The sequence below is a fragment of the Homo sapiens genome, chromosome 9 (assembly GCF_000001405.40).
Source record: "Homo sapiens chromosome 9, GRCh38.p14 Primary Assembly".
NCBI lineage: Eukaryota > Metazoa > Chordata > Mammalia > Primates > Hominidae > Homo > Homo sapiens.
In genome coordinates, this window is record NC_000009.12 from 83,528,087 (window position 1) to 83,541,476 (window position 13,390).

General features: G+C 43.9%; 1 protein-coding gene across 5 annotated transcripts in view, besides 1 other annotated feature; it reads right to left on the bottom strand.

The window, feature by feature from the left end:
* FRMD3 (FERM domain containing 3) overlaps positions 1 to 13,390 on the bottom strand; it is a 342,803-nt gene that overhangs the window by 285,095 nt on the left and 44,318 nt on the right. For 2 of the 5 annotated variants that reach the window (NM_001244959.2, NM_174938.6), the window contains exon 1: positions 9,999 to 10,315. The exons of the other annotated variants lie outside the window; for them this stretch is intronic. In NM_001244959.2, the coding sequence (NP_001231888.1) occupies positions 9,999 to 10,145 (147 nt within the window). In that variant the 5' untranslated portion in view covers positions 10,146 to 10,315. Of the gene's footprint in view, positions 1 to 9,998; positions 10,316 to 13,390 lie in introns of those variants that run through there. 5 annotated transcript variants of the gene reach the window in all.
* Positions 8,268 to 8,562: a silencer, noted in NCBI's record as "tiled region #3056; K562 Repressive non-DNase unmatched - State 24:Quies". NCBI's record gives its function as "represses a minimal TATA promoter and a strong SV40 promoter by Sharpr-MPRA in K562 cells {active_cell/tissue: K562}" and the evidence as "EXISTENCE:reporter gene assay evidence [ECO:0000049][PMID:27701403]".

Below are 13,390 nucleotides of genomic sequence, written 5' to 3' on the forward strand. Positions count from 1 at the left end.
ATTCAAATGGTTTACAGTTTAAACACTTCATGTTTAGCTGTATATTTTCCATGATCAAAAGAAGGGTCTCAAAACAAGACACAGCTTTATGCAATTATTAGAGTTTAAAAAGTTAGGATTCAGTTAGAGAGCAAGTGAAATTAGAAAATGCTTATTACACTAGAGCCTAGCCTTGTCCTTCTACTCTTAATATTTTGAATATAAACGCAGACACACACACACACACACACACACGTGCATAGTTACTACTAAGAATTCCAAATATAACATACATATTTTCTGTGAACATGCAGTGTTTTTTATTTAATTGACATCACTTGGGGCACTTGTAACTTATGATCTTGGAGGCAAAGAAGAAGCATATAAGTTCTATTTTGTTTTATTTAGGTTTGGGTTTGTTTTTTTTAATTTTTCAGGAAGTTCAGTAAATGGACAGTCACCTAAACCAGCAATTTTTTTTTTTGAGACAGGGCCTCACTGTCACCCAGGCTGGAGTGCAGTGGCACAGTCACAGCTCACTGCAGCCTCCATCTCCCTAGCTTAAGCAATCCTCCCACCTCAGCCTCCCAAGTAGCTGGGACTACAGGCACGCACCAAGCCCAGCTAATTTTTGTATTTTTTTGTAAACACAGGGTTTCACCATGTTGCCCAGGCTGGTCTCAAGCTCCTGGGCTCATGCAATCTGCTCACTTCGGCCTCCCAAAGTGCTGGGATTACAGGCATGAGCCACTGCACCCAGCAATTCTTCAGCATGTTGGCCTCAAAACTCCTTTACCTACTGAGTATCTGTAAAACCTTTGTTTATATTATATATAGACAGAATTATTTAAAATATTCGATTATTGATTCATTTAAAAATAACAATAAACCCACTGTACATTAATGTAAAAAACATATTTTTGTTTAAAAATAGCTATATTGTACAAAATAAAGTAGTGATAAAAGCAGCATTGTTTTGCAAATATCTTTAATGTCTGACTCAACAAAGAGGTGTATTCTCACATATGCTTCTTCATTCAATCTGTTGCAATATCACACATCTTGTAGCCTCTAGAAAATTCCACTGTACACTTCTGAAAGACTGAAAGTGGAAAAGGTAAACAACACCTCATCAGAGTGACAAGACAATTCAACAGGGAAAAGAGTTGCTTTTTTCAACAAATGGTGCTGGGACAACTGGATATCCACATGCAAAAGGATAAAGTTAGACCCCTACCTCACACCATACACAAAAATTGACACAAAATGGATCAAATATGGGAGTAGCTGTTAATAGATACAGATTTATTCTGGGGTGATGAAAATGTTCTGGAATTAGGGAGTGATTGTAGTTGCAAAGTCTTATGAATATATGAAAATCAGCTGAATTGTGCACTTTAAAATGATGAATTTTATGGTATGCAAACTATGTATCAATTTTAAAAATGGATCAAAGTCCTAAATGTAAGAGCTAAAACTATAAAACTGTTTAATGAAAACATAGGCATAAGTCCTTATTACCTTGAATTGGGCAATAGTTCTTAGCTATGACATCACAAATACAAGCAACAAAAATTATATATAAATTGGACTTTATCAAAATTAAAAGCTTTTTTGACCCCATCAAGAAAGTAAAAGATATCCCACAGAATGGGAAAAAATATTTGCAAATCACTTATTATATAAAGGGTTTGTGTCCAGAATATATGAAGAACTCTTACAACTTAATAATAAAAGACAACCCAATTTTAAAATGGGCAAAGGATCTAAATGGGCAGCTGTCTGAAGAAGATATACAAATGGCTAATAGACACATGAAAAGATGCTCAACTTTAGCCACCAGAGAAATGCAAATCAAAACCACAATGAGATCCCACTCCACACCCACTTAGGATGGTTATAATCAAACAGATAGATAATAACAAGTATTGGAGAGGATGTGAAGAAATTGAAACCCTGCTACACTGCTGGTGGGAATGTAAAATGGTGCAGCCACTTTGAAAAACTGTTTGACAGTTATTCAAAAGATTAAACACAGAGTTACCATATGACTAGTAATTTCACTTCTAGGTATACACCCAAGAGAAATGAAACATGTCTAGAGAGCAACTTTTTCAGGAATGTTCATAGCAACATTATTCATAATAGCCAAAATGTCCATCAACCCAAATGTTCAACTAATGAATGGATCAACAAAATGTGATATATCTATGCAATGGACTGGACTACTATTCAACAAGAAAAAGGAAGGAGGTACTGACCCATGCTACAATATGGATAAACCTTGAAAACATTGTGCTAAGTGAAAGAAGCCAGACACAAAAGTTCACATATTTTATGATTCCATTTTTATCAAATGTCCAGAATAGACAAATCTATACAGACAGGAAGTAGATTAGTGGTTGCCTAGGACTGGGAGGTCTGGAGGGAAATGGAGGTATGACTGCTAAAGGGCAAAGGTTCATTTTGGGGATGATGAAAATATTCTAAAATTAATTGTGGTGATGACTGCACTACTCTCTGAATATATTAAAAATTGTATACCTTAAGTGGGCGTACTACAAGGAATGTGAACTACATCTCAATAAAACTGTTATCCAAAAAGGCAAACAATATCTTAGTATTATTTTGAAAATAGTTTTTTTTTAATAGCATGGACTCCATGAAATGATCACAGGGACTTCCAGGATTCCCCAGACAACACTTTGAGAACCACCTACCCTAGACAAAGCATCTACAGTAGGTATTGTGGGTTATCTTTTTAGGAGCCATTTCCCCCTTCCTCCTATCTGATTTTAGGTATTTGCTCTTCCCCAGGCAGAACATCACCACAGGGGAAGTTGATCCCACCCTGAGTCCCAGGGTCAAGCTCTGCACCTTAAGCTAATCAGCACATTATCTTCCCCTGGTCAGGGTCACTGCTTCAGGGGTAAGCATGTGACCTGGGAGGTCCCATCAGAATGACTGCACACTTCTGTTTGGGATGCTGAATTGGAAGTGGCTTCTCTCTTCCTCTGGAGGGTATCCTATGAAAATGTGAGAACTGGCACTACTATAACTATTTCACTACCAGTCTGAGGATAGAGCCATCCCAAATGGCAAGAAGAGGCAAAGGAACCCCAGAGAAACAGAGCCACAGTCCTTGAATTAAATATATAATTCAAGACTTCTGAATATATGAGTCAGTAAATGTCCTTAATGTTAAAGCCAGTTTGAATTAGAATTTGTTGCATGTAGTTAAAAGAATTCTAGCTGATACACCGTCAATGTGCAGCTAATATTATTGTATTCTCCCTGAAGTCAATACACTTTGCCTTTGCTTTGAAAATATCAAGAGATAAGATCTTAGCAGACCATTGGAATAACATTACATTTTTTTAGGATATACTTAATATAAAGAGCTGGCCCATATAATATAGGTCTAAAAACGTCAGAGCTGTGCCACAGTATTTAACAAACTGCCTCTCTCCTCTATTCCTTTTGTGTCTGATTTTCAGTAGACTCTGAATGGCATTCCAGAAGAGCTTGGTAGAGAAAAGTGTTGAATTGTCCTTACTAGCAGAAAACTGTGGCTGCCAGCTGGACCTAGCTTGGATTTCACCAGCAGGATCATCATGGGGCCTGATATTTAGCACAGATATAGGTTTGCACATGATAATATCATTCCCATTTCAACAGATAAGAAGCTAACCTTTTCTTCAACTAAATTGATTAGAATAGTACTCTGTATTTGGGTGATATTTGAACATTTACAACATGCTTTTACATAAGCCATCTCAACAACACAGTGGAGACTGGCAGTTGAGGAATTATTACTCTCATTTTTCAGTTGAAGAACAGGAGGCCCAGTGACTGGCTTAAGGTCTTGCACCATCAGAAAGTGATGGAGTTTAGGCTTAAAGTCATTTGATTCTAAGTCAAAGCCTTCCCACTATTTAGGATTACCTCTAATATAGTTTCACAAAACATTAAGATAACAGTCACTATTTTTTCAGCTCTCACTATGTGCCAGGTACTAAGCTAAGCACTTGACATATAATCCTTATTTAATCCTTACAAAAAGTCCATGAGGGCTATGTTATTATTATTTCCACTTTATAGCTGAGGAAACTGAGGCCCAATGAGGAAAAGTGACTTCCCCAAAGTCACCTGGCTAGTCAATGGCAGAGCCAGGGTTCAAACCCAAGCAAGCAGTGCTCCAGAACATATGCTCTCAACCACTTCATGCCACTGTGCCACTTGAACAAGCATAAAGTTTGTCTGCTATAGAGAGCTGTGCCTGCTCTGAACAAGATGCCTTTTAGCTGCCCAGAACCCACCCATTCCATAAGGGCAGAAATGATATTTAACAACACACACTACAAAGGACTCTCTCATAATTTTCCTTGTTCTAGAATTTGATCATACAAAGATTGCCTAAAAAAAGCCAGGGCTGAGATGACATCTTACTAAACTCTCATGAAAGGTTTATTGTAACAATAATTGCAACCTAATTTGACGTATTCTGAAAGACGCTCCTGCATGATTAGCCGACAGCTGTTCCTCCCCACCACACACATGTGCATGCACACACACACACACACATAATTCCATTCCTTCCATAATGGCAAAGCCACCTCCCATTATAGAGAGGAAAAATGCCAGATGCATATATTCCTAGACACTTTTACAGCTAGGGCATGGGCATATGATCCAATCCAGGCCAATGGAATCTGATGGGAAAACTGATGGGGACTCTGGGAAAGTGTTCCTCTGTGATAAAAAGGCAATGCATGAGGAAATACCTCTTCTTGGACAGTGGATGTGGTAGTGACTGACTGACATCTAAAATTACTGCAGCCACCTCATAATCATGGAGACTATAGAGACATAGTTAATGCACTGAAGATGCCAGAGTGAAAAGATGGGAAGCAGCAACTGAGTCCAGGCAGAGCTTTGGAACAGCCCTGAAGTTGCCCTCTCTCTGGACTTTTTGCCAGCTAAGATAATAAGTGTCCTTATTATTTAGGCCACTTTAACTTGTCTACTCTTTTACTTGCAGCCAAAAGCAGCCTAATCATTCAGTCCCAAGAGGCAGTGCTCCAGAGATGAAAGAGCTCTGGATTTTGAGTCAAAGGACCTGGGTTCTGATCCACTTATTTGCTTGGTTACCCAAATTGCTAACCTCTTTGAATCTCATTTTCCATATCTAGTAATACAATATTGAGATAATACTCAGTAACACAATAACATCCATAAAATGGAGATAATGGATAGTTATAAAATTCATATGAGATAATACGTACACTACCACTTTGTCAACAGAAATGCTTCATTCACATGTAATTTATCCAGTCAATAATAAAACCACAGACTTTTTAAACTGTAGCATCCATCTAACCAAATTCTTTTGTTTTACAAAAGAAAAGAAAATTGACTCCAAATGTCAAATGACTCACTCAAGATCACACAGCTGGTTGGTAACATAACTAAACCACACATCTGATTCCCGATCTAATGCTGGCATGCTACCTTCATGTTGACAGGTAATGAGTTAGACTAAATATTGGGAAGGTTAGCACTCATCCATTCAACTGATGTTTAATGTGCACATATTATACTATATAGAATAGTAGGCACTATTCTAAATATCAGGGACTCTGCGGTGAACATCAGAATGTTCCTACTCTTGTGAATTTAACAGTCTAGAAAGAAAATTATTCAATCTACATCGATATTTATTGTGTTCCTACTGTATGCAAAGCACTATGCTAAGATTTTTAGTCAAATACAAATACAAATTTTCAGCCAATTCCAACTATGTCAGCCATGTTTACCAGGCTTTGCCAAAGTATGAATAATGTCAAAAATCTATGTAACCCAAAAAAGTCAGTATTAAAAATGGCAAGTTCATTAGCAAGGGTTGTGAATAACAATGCCGGTGTCTAAAGAAAAAAAAGTAGATAGAAGATGGCTAGGACTCCACTCTAATTGAAGTAGCAAGGCTGAATGAAGAATTAGAGTCAAACCTCATCCTCCTACAAAATCCAGACTTCAGGGGTTGGCTCAATTGGAAAAGCCCAATAAGGAGCATTCAGTAACTCCTTCCCTTCCCCAGGCCTCTGTCTTGTAACCCAAACTCCCCTTTACTCCCTGTCTATTTGGAATTCCTCTATCTTCCATCCTACCTGAACATTCACAAGCAAATGATATGATGGGACAGCATCCCAGACCCTGTGAAAAGAGACAGAGCCAGTGACTTCCACATCTCTTATTGGAACTGACCACCAGTCTGCTGAGACTGGACCACTAGGTTGTGTGTTTGAAAGTTTTCGTTGGCCAAATACTACCAAAATTATATGATTTGGAAAAGGATTATTTAAAAGCTGTTATTTTGCAAAAGCTCTTTCCTATCCTCTATGCAGTGGCAAATGCAAAGATCCTAGGGGGTGGGGAGGTAACAAGGAGAATACTCTGCCTTCTCCCCTTGTGGGAGGCACACTGAAGAGGCACAAAACACATGCCCTTTCACCATCACACCCTCTAATCAGAGCACAACTAGGCAATTCTCCCTTAGTTTCTGGCTTGGTTCATCTTTTGATGCATAGGCATAATTTGGGGCTACTACTGTCTGAAATATAAGGACACAGTGTATCAAACCTAACAAGGCATTTATGCATATAGTTTCTTTAAAGGCAAATACCATGTTTCTGGGGGGTGGAAATGGCCCCCAGTGACATTTGGATTGTGGGATTCCAATCAGCTCTGAGATGCCAGCCTCCCTGGAAGACCCAGGACACATTAAGTTTGCAAACTGGCAAATAGGGTCGCTTTGTCCATTCAGATCATGAATCCCAACTGGCCTTCAGTCACTGGTTTAAATTCCCCTACCTTGGATTTACCTCTTTCCATGTCTGGAAATTTCATTGAAACTTCAGCTATTTTAACTATGGGGTAATATGTCAAAGACATACATAAGCTTTGGATCCAGACAATTCTGGATTTGAATTCCAGCTGCTCATTCTCTTTTTAGAGATGTGGCCTTGAACAAGTCACTTAAGTTATTAGCTTCTCAGTTTTCTTACCCAAAAGAAGGGAATAATACCTACTCAAAGGTTGGTGGTAGAGATCAGACATAATGAGTGGAAAAGGCTGGCTCATGAGAGATGCTCAAGAAATGGCACCTAGAGCTATTCACATTGTCTCAAGCAATAGTCCTGAAGGTTTCTATCATCTCTTGCATCTACCATGTGTGGCCACTCTCCAGCACCTTGCTAGAGAAACCTGTTTGAGTGGCTCATTTTTCTTTGAATCTGGAATGCTTACCTACTAGAGAACACAGACTAATGAGCTCCCAAGGATGTGTGGCTTGAGTTTCCCCTACTTATTTTGGGGCTCCATAGGCAGCACTCCTGTAGTGAACAGGAGTGAACAACTAACACATGTCCAAGAGCTCCTGCTCCTCCTACAGAGCCTCTAGATCAAGCTCATCCAACCCATGGCCCAGGACAGCTTTGGATGCAGCCCAACAGAAATTCATAAACTTTCTTAAAACATTATGAGACTTTTTGTGATTTTTTTTTTTTTAGCTCATCAGCTATCGTTAGCGTTAGTGTATTTTATGTGTGGCCCAAGACAATTCTTCTTCTTCCAATGTGGCCCAGGGAAGCCAGAAAATTGGACACCCCTGCTCCAGAGCCAGGCAGACACCAGGGATGAGAGCTCCTAACGCAGACAGGCAGATGTGGGCTATGGAGAGAGGGTGACATTCTGTGACAATATATACAATCCTTTAACTTTGTAGTTCTATAGAAGGAAGGAAGCAAACACAGATGGATTCACCCAGAACAAGTGCCAGTAATTCCAAATGGTTTTGTTTCGCATTGTTTTTTAATCCTTTTGTTCTCACTCTAAGCAAATGGGAAGTCTTTGTTACCTGATACCCGGAAGGGCAATTTCAATTCCTGGTCTGGAGTACTCTAGGAAAGTGTGAGGTCTAAAGTTATCCAAATAAAATATTTTAATTTATTTTAATTGGTTAAATAATAATTGTAATTTGGGGGCAGAAAGGGCAGAAAAAGACAAATCACAAAATGAAACATCATAATTTTTTAAAAATCAGTGCCCAAGCCAACATTTTGAAACATAACATTTTAACCTCTTTGGCACTAGTTGGGTCATAAGCACTGGAGTTTTTCAAACTGTTGTTAGACTGGCTACAATTTATTGTTTCTCAAAACACAAGACAACAAATACATGTCCTTTGGGGAATATTTATTATTCTAAGGAAGACTTCATCCTGAGGGAGGGGAAAAAAATGTCAACACCAAGTGGTACAGGGCAGAAGAGGGCTGAGAGACAGAGGAGAACTCAACAGCCTCTCTCCCTGACGGCCCCTCCATCATCTACACATTCATTATGGGTTAAAGGACCTGTACACCCACTTTAGGACTTAAAGCAAAGTGCACAGTCCACACTCTCTGGATCACAAGACTATTAGTACATGCCAGATGCTTCTGTGCAACCCTTGTGGCAGTAGAAACACTGCCTATCCTGCTAATCCTTTTATTATTAAGTTTAGCAGTGCTGCTTAGCTCAGAATGAAATTCAAGCTCCCCCAGAAAATTCAATGGGAGCCTACTTTCCTGGGAGATCATGGGGCATCACATTCCTACCTTGACACTTGTCCGGCTGTCAGGTTACAAATTAATTGCAACTGCCCCCAACATGTCACACACTCCCACTAACAAAAATTAAATAAAAATAAAACAGGGAAAGTCCTTTCATTCCTTCATGGTTTGCACAGCCTAGAGGCTGATTCCTACTCTGGGAGATGCTGCCCCACTCACCTCCCACTGACATGGGTGGTGTGCCCTGTATTACACTAAAAAAAAAAAAAAAAAAAAAAAGCTCAGTCCCAGAGCCTCAAGACTCGACTAGGGTAGGTGAGAAAGGAAATCCCAGAGATAAACAGTTAAATAGATTTAGAAGTCAGAAGTTAATTGTGCTGAGCCCTGACACAACCTTTCCTGATTGTGTGCGCACCGAGTGGGGCATCTTTGGGGTCCTGGAAGAGGGGCTCCCACCTGCCTACATATTCACCCACAGCAAATATGCACACGCACGCGCAACCACATGCACACACACACCTTTGCACCTCACACTAGCTCTCCTGACAGCCCAGAGGCACTTACTACCCGAGGACAGGGCTGCCAGCAAAGCTGCCTTCTCCCAAACAACTCGCCTTCTCCTCCAACTTGGGCGACAGTGAATGTCCACCAAGATTCCACGGGGCTCTTTTACCCAGGACCCAGGTTCCTGCAGGGCTCCCCACTTGCTGGCCTCACAATCCCTTTTCCTTTCTCCGAAACACTCAGACTTCACACATTCCTTTCGAGGTAGCTCCAGTCCGGCGCAGCGCGCGCTCCATCCCTCAAGGCTGGCGCCCAGGGCAGCCCGGCCTCTCTCACTCTGGGGAAACTTCGCCACCGCCCCACGCGGAGAACTAAAGACCACCGGCGGAGGGTGAGGGGGACCGACACGGAGCGGAAAGCAGGTTCCGGGACTGAGGGCGTCTCCGGAGCCTGGGCGCGGGAGACAGAAATGAGTGAACCCAGCTGATGCATGCCTTCTCCACGTGGAAGAAGGGAGGAAATACCAGTGGGCGACATGCAGGTGCCCCTCTCAGCCCTCGGAGCTCCCATCTCCTGGCGGAGTAGGGCCCAGAGGGGCCAGAGTCCCTCCGGAGGCAGCTGCCCCGCGCCCCTAGCCCGGGCGCAGTGAGACGCGCGCGCAGGGTGCACGCGAGGGGAAGGAGACTGGGCGCGGATAACGCGTGCCTGGCGCTTGCAGGGCACCATGCCCCTCCATGCCAGGATAAGGCCCCCCACCCTCAGAGGCCTGAGGAATCGAAATCTGGCTTTCTAGCAGTCCCCCAATCCCCTCCGGGAGTGGGTTCCTTGTTCTCGCATGCCCACCGCAAAGGCCCCCCGCCCTGCTCCCGGCGTGTGCCCCGCGCCCTCGCCCGGTTCCACGCGCACCTGGATGTGGCAGGAGATCTCCGAGTCGTCCAGCAGCCGGATGGTGCATCTCATCTCCTGGCTGAGCGATTTGACGCTGGAGCTCCGAAAGTGGATCATTTTCATGGTCCTCCTGCCTCTCGGCACACAGTGGCAGGAGGCGAACATGCACCGCGGCCGTGGGGAGCGAGCGGGAGGCTCAGGGCCGGCGCGGTGCTCGCCTGCGCGGACACACACGCTCGCACGCACTGTCCGGGACACCTGGGCGCGGCTCAGCCCCGGGACATCGGCAGCGTCGGGCGCCTGCGGACACACATGCCCAGCGGCCGGGGCGCGGCGGGCGGGTCCCTCCCTCTGTTCGCTCGCCTCCGCCTCGCCCCCTCCTTTCCCCGCCTCCTTCTGTCGCGCGCGCTCGTGCGCCTCCCTCTGCCCGGGCTCGCTCGCCGAGGACGCCCAGAGCCTGAGACCCCCGGCGGGCTCGCGACGCACTCACTCCCACGCGCGCCGAGCAGCTGAAGGAGGAGGCGGAGGGATGGCTGGCGCGGCTGGCCCGGGTGCCCTGGTGGTGGCCTGCTCAGTCGCAGCCGCCGCTGCGTCAAGCTGGGCCCGACTGCCTTCCTCAGCCTCACCGCCTCCTCCCTCCCCTGGCCGCTGTCGCTCGGGCTCCCGGTTGTGCTCGTCCCGGCCCCGGCTCCCCAACGCGCTCGACAGCGCCCTGCTCTGCTCAGCTCCAGGGACCTGGCGCGGGTAGGGGACGGAGAGCGATCCTGACCCACACCGCCAGGGGGATTCCGCCTCGGGAAAGGATTGCTGGGCCCAGGGCGAGTGACAGAGAGAGTGACAGCCCTGACACGGCTACACCAGGAATATCGCTAATAGTAAAAATCTCTGGTACTCATGGAGATTGTTTAAGCCATTGTTTTATTTAATGCTAGCTAGGACTCAGTCTCTTTCTCCAAAAAAGAGCCTTCCATGTGCAAATCCTCCTTTAAATCTCCCAACATCTTAGTGTGATCTTTGATAGCATACCTTTGACCCGAGCAAGAGGGATAGGTTCCTATCCTACTCCCCTGCTTTACAGACCTCCTCCAGTTCCCGGTTGCTCAGGAATTAAGAGGTCTAATGGCAAAGCGGATGTGCCCCATCCCGTTTTAGTCCAATCTCTGGGTATTGAGGACTCTGGAATTCCCCACGCGCCTCCAGGGTGTTGAAGGTAGGAGGTATCCTGCCTCTCTGTTGTCCCCAAGGTGGCTAGAGCCACTGTGTCAGGTACCGTAGGCCCGAGAGTGGCCAGGAGCAGCTGTTGAGTCAGGGGTATGGAGCTTGAATGTGAGCACTAGAATGTCCAGGAGCTGGGAGAGATGGAAGTCCTCTCACCCTGTTGCTCTTGCCGGAGCAGAACAGGTCATTAGGAAGGAACATTTGTTAGAAGAGGAGGTGTTGACCAGCTGTCAGCTTTTTCAAGGTTTGTGCCTGCATAGAGTCCCCTCATCCAAAGATATGCCCTGTCCTGGGGGTCGAGGAAGAGTGGCACACAAATTTTACCTGCCCTGGACAGTCTGGTGGGCCATATATTCTCTAGGACACCTAGTGGGGTTGGCTAAGGTTTGGGGGAGTCCGCATTGCATTTGGACTTCTCTCTCTGCCTGCTCCTGCCTCCTCTCCCTGTTGATCACTAATAAATACCACACAGGACAAACTCAGTCTCAGTATCTGCTCCTGGAAATTCCAAATTGCAACAATTTGTCAAGATAGGAGGATAGAGAATGTTTTATGTAGCACTCAATAGCTGACTATTGCTTATGAATATTTAGATGATAGTATGGGGCATTCATGTAGGCTCTTGAGCTGGGCCCTTCAAATGTTAGGGCAGATCCTGATGGAGAGGTCAGTATTGAGGGTATGGGAAGATGTGGATTTCATTCTTGGCCCAGCTACTGGCTAATCCTGGGGATCTTTGAAAAGTCTCTCCATTTCTTTTCTCATTTCAAAGGAGAGAACACCTGTTCATCCCACAGGTGGCTGGGAAGCTGGTATGACACCGGGTCAGTGGAGGACATCTTACAGCTGTAATCTGTAAATCCCCATATGCACATATGAGGTGGCAGGGATGGGACCTGCCCCAAGTTGAAAACTGGATCATCTCTGCTAGCCAAAAGAGCAGACAGCCCAGAGATCAAAGAAAAGTCACCAGCCAAACAGTCCATGCTTTTCTTTTAAGACCACACACACACTTGTCCATCCTATTATAGTGACCGTTAGGCTCCAAAAGAGTCATATCAATACCCAAAAATTGTTACCCCAAATTCCAAGGAAGCAAAATAAGACCAACAAGGACAGTAGTGAAAAAGACAGAATAAAGATAACCCAATGTGGGACTGTAAGAAACAGAATTTTGAAGAAATGAGAAGAATCTGAGATTGGTTGTCTGGCCTGATTAGGAATAAAGGCTGAGATTCAACTAGTATGAAAATACAGGCTCTGGAAGCACTTGGCATGACAGCTAGGTAAATTACCAAGTATGGTCACCTGGATTGAACTACCCAATGAAGACAAGGCTCTGGGAAACCAACTGGCCATTGTCAACAATAATAATAATAATATGAAGATTAGGAAGAACTCAAAGAATGAACTCAAGGGATGAGTTTAAAACTGGACCACTGAAAGAAAAGTAGTGATGCACTAAGTCCTAAATTATCAGCTTATGACTTTTAAACAACTGTATTTTTACAAACAACAGAGCTCAAAGAATATCTTGTTAATTGAGCCACAAGGCCAAAACTGAAAAACCAAATTCACAATTTCATCTACAAATCGCCAAATTACAAAGTCAATTGAATTATCGGCCTCACAAGATTTTATAATTATCAGCAGGAAAGAGTGGGAATCTGGGAATAAGAATAGGACTATAAAAGAAAACTTGAATGATTCCTAGTCACTCAAGCCCCCAAACTCCCTTGGCAGCAGAAGCATGCCCTCTTCCTTATGTAACGAGGCTGTTCCTGCTTTGTTTGAAGATCCTCTTCGGAACTCACTTAAGGCAGTTACCTTGGAAAGGGAAGCCGATCTCCTCCCACCCCTCTCCCACCATCTCTGACTACTCTCACTCTTAATACTTGAACCAGATTCAGTCACACCCTAGGAGACCAACTATAAAGTCAACCCCAAGAAGAGAAAGAATTGCAAGATTCTGCTAATTTACATTGAAGAGTATATGTGTGAATAAACCTGAATCTGTCCATTTGAATTCACTTCCCAATGACTCTGGTTTCAATGTACTATCTAAATTGACTAACTGACTTCTGGACTCAGCTAAATGAAGATGAGAAAAAGGAAATTCCCTGGTACATGTACAGGAAAAGATCCAAAGAATCAAGGAGATGGAAATATTGCAGTGTATTTCCACATGTGGC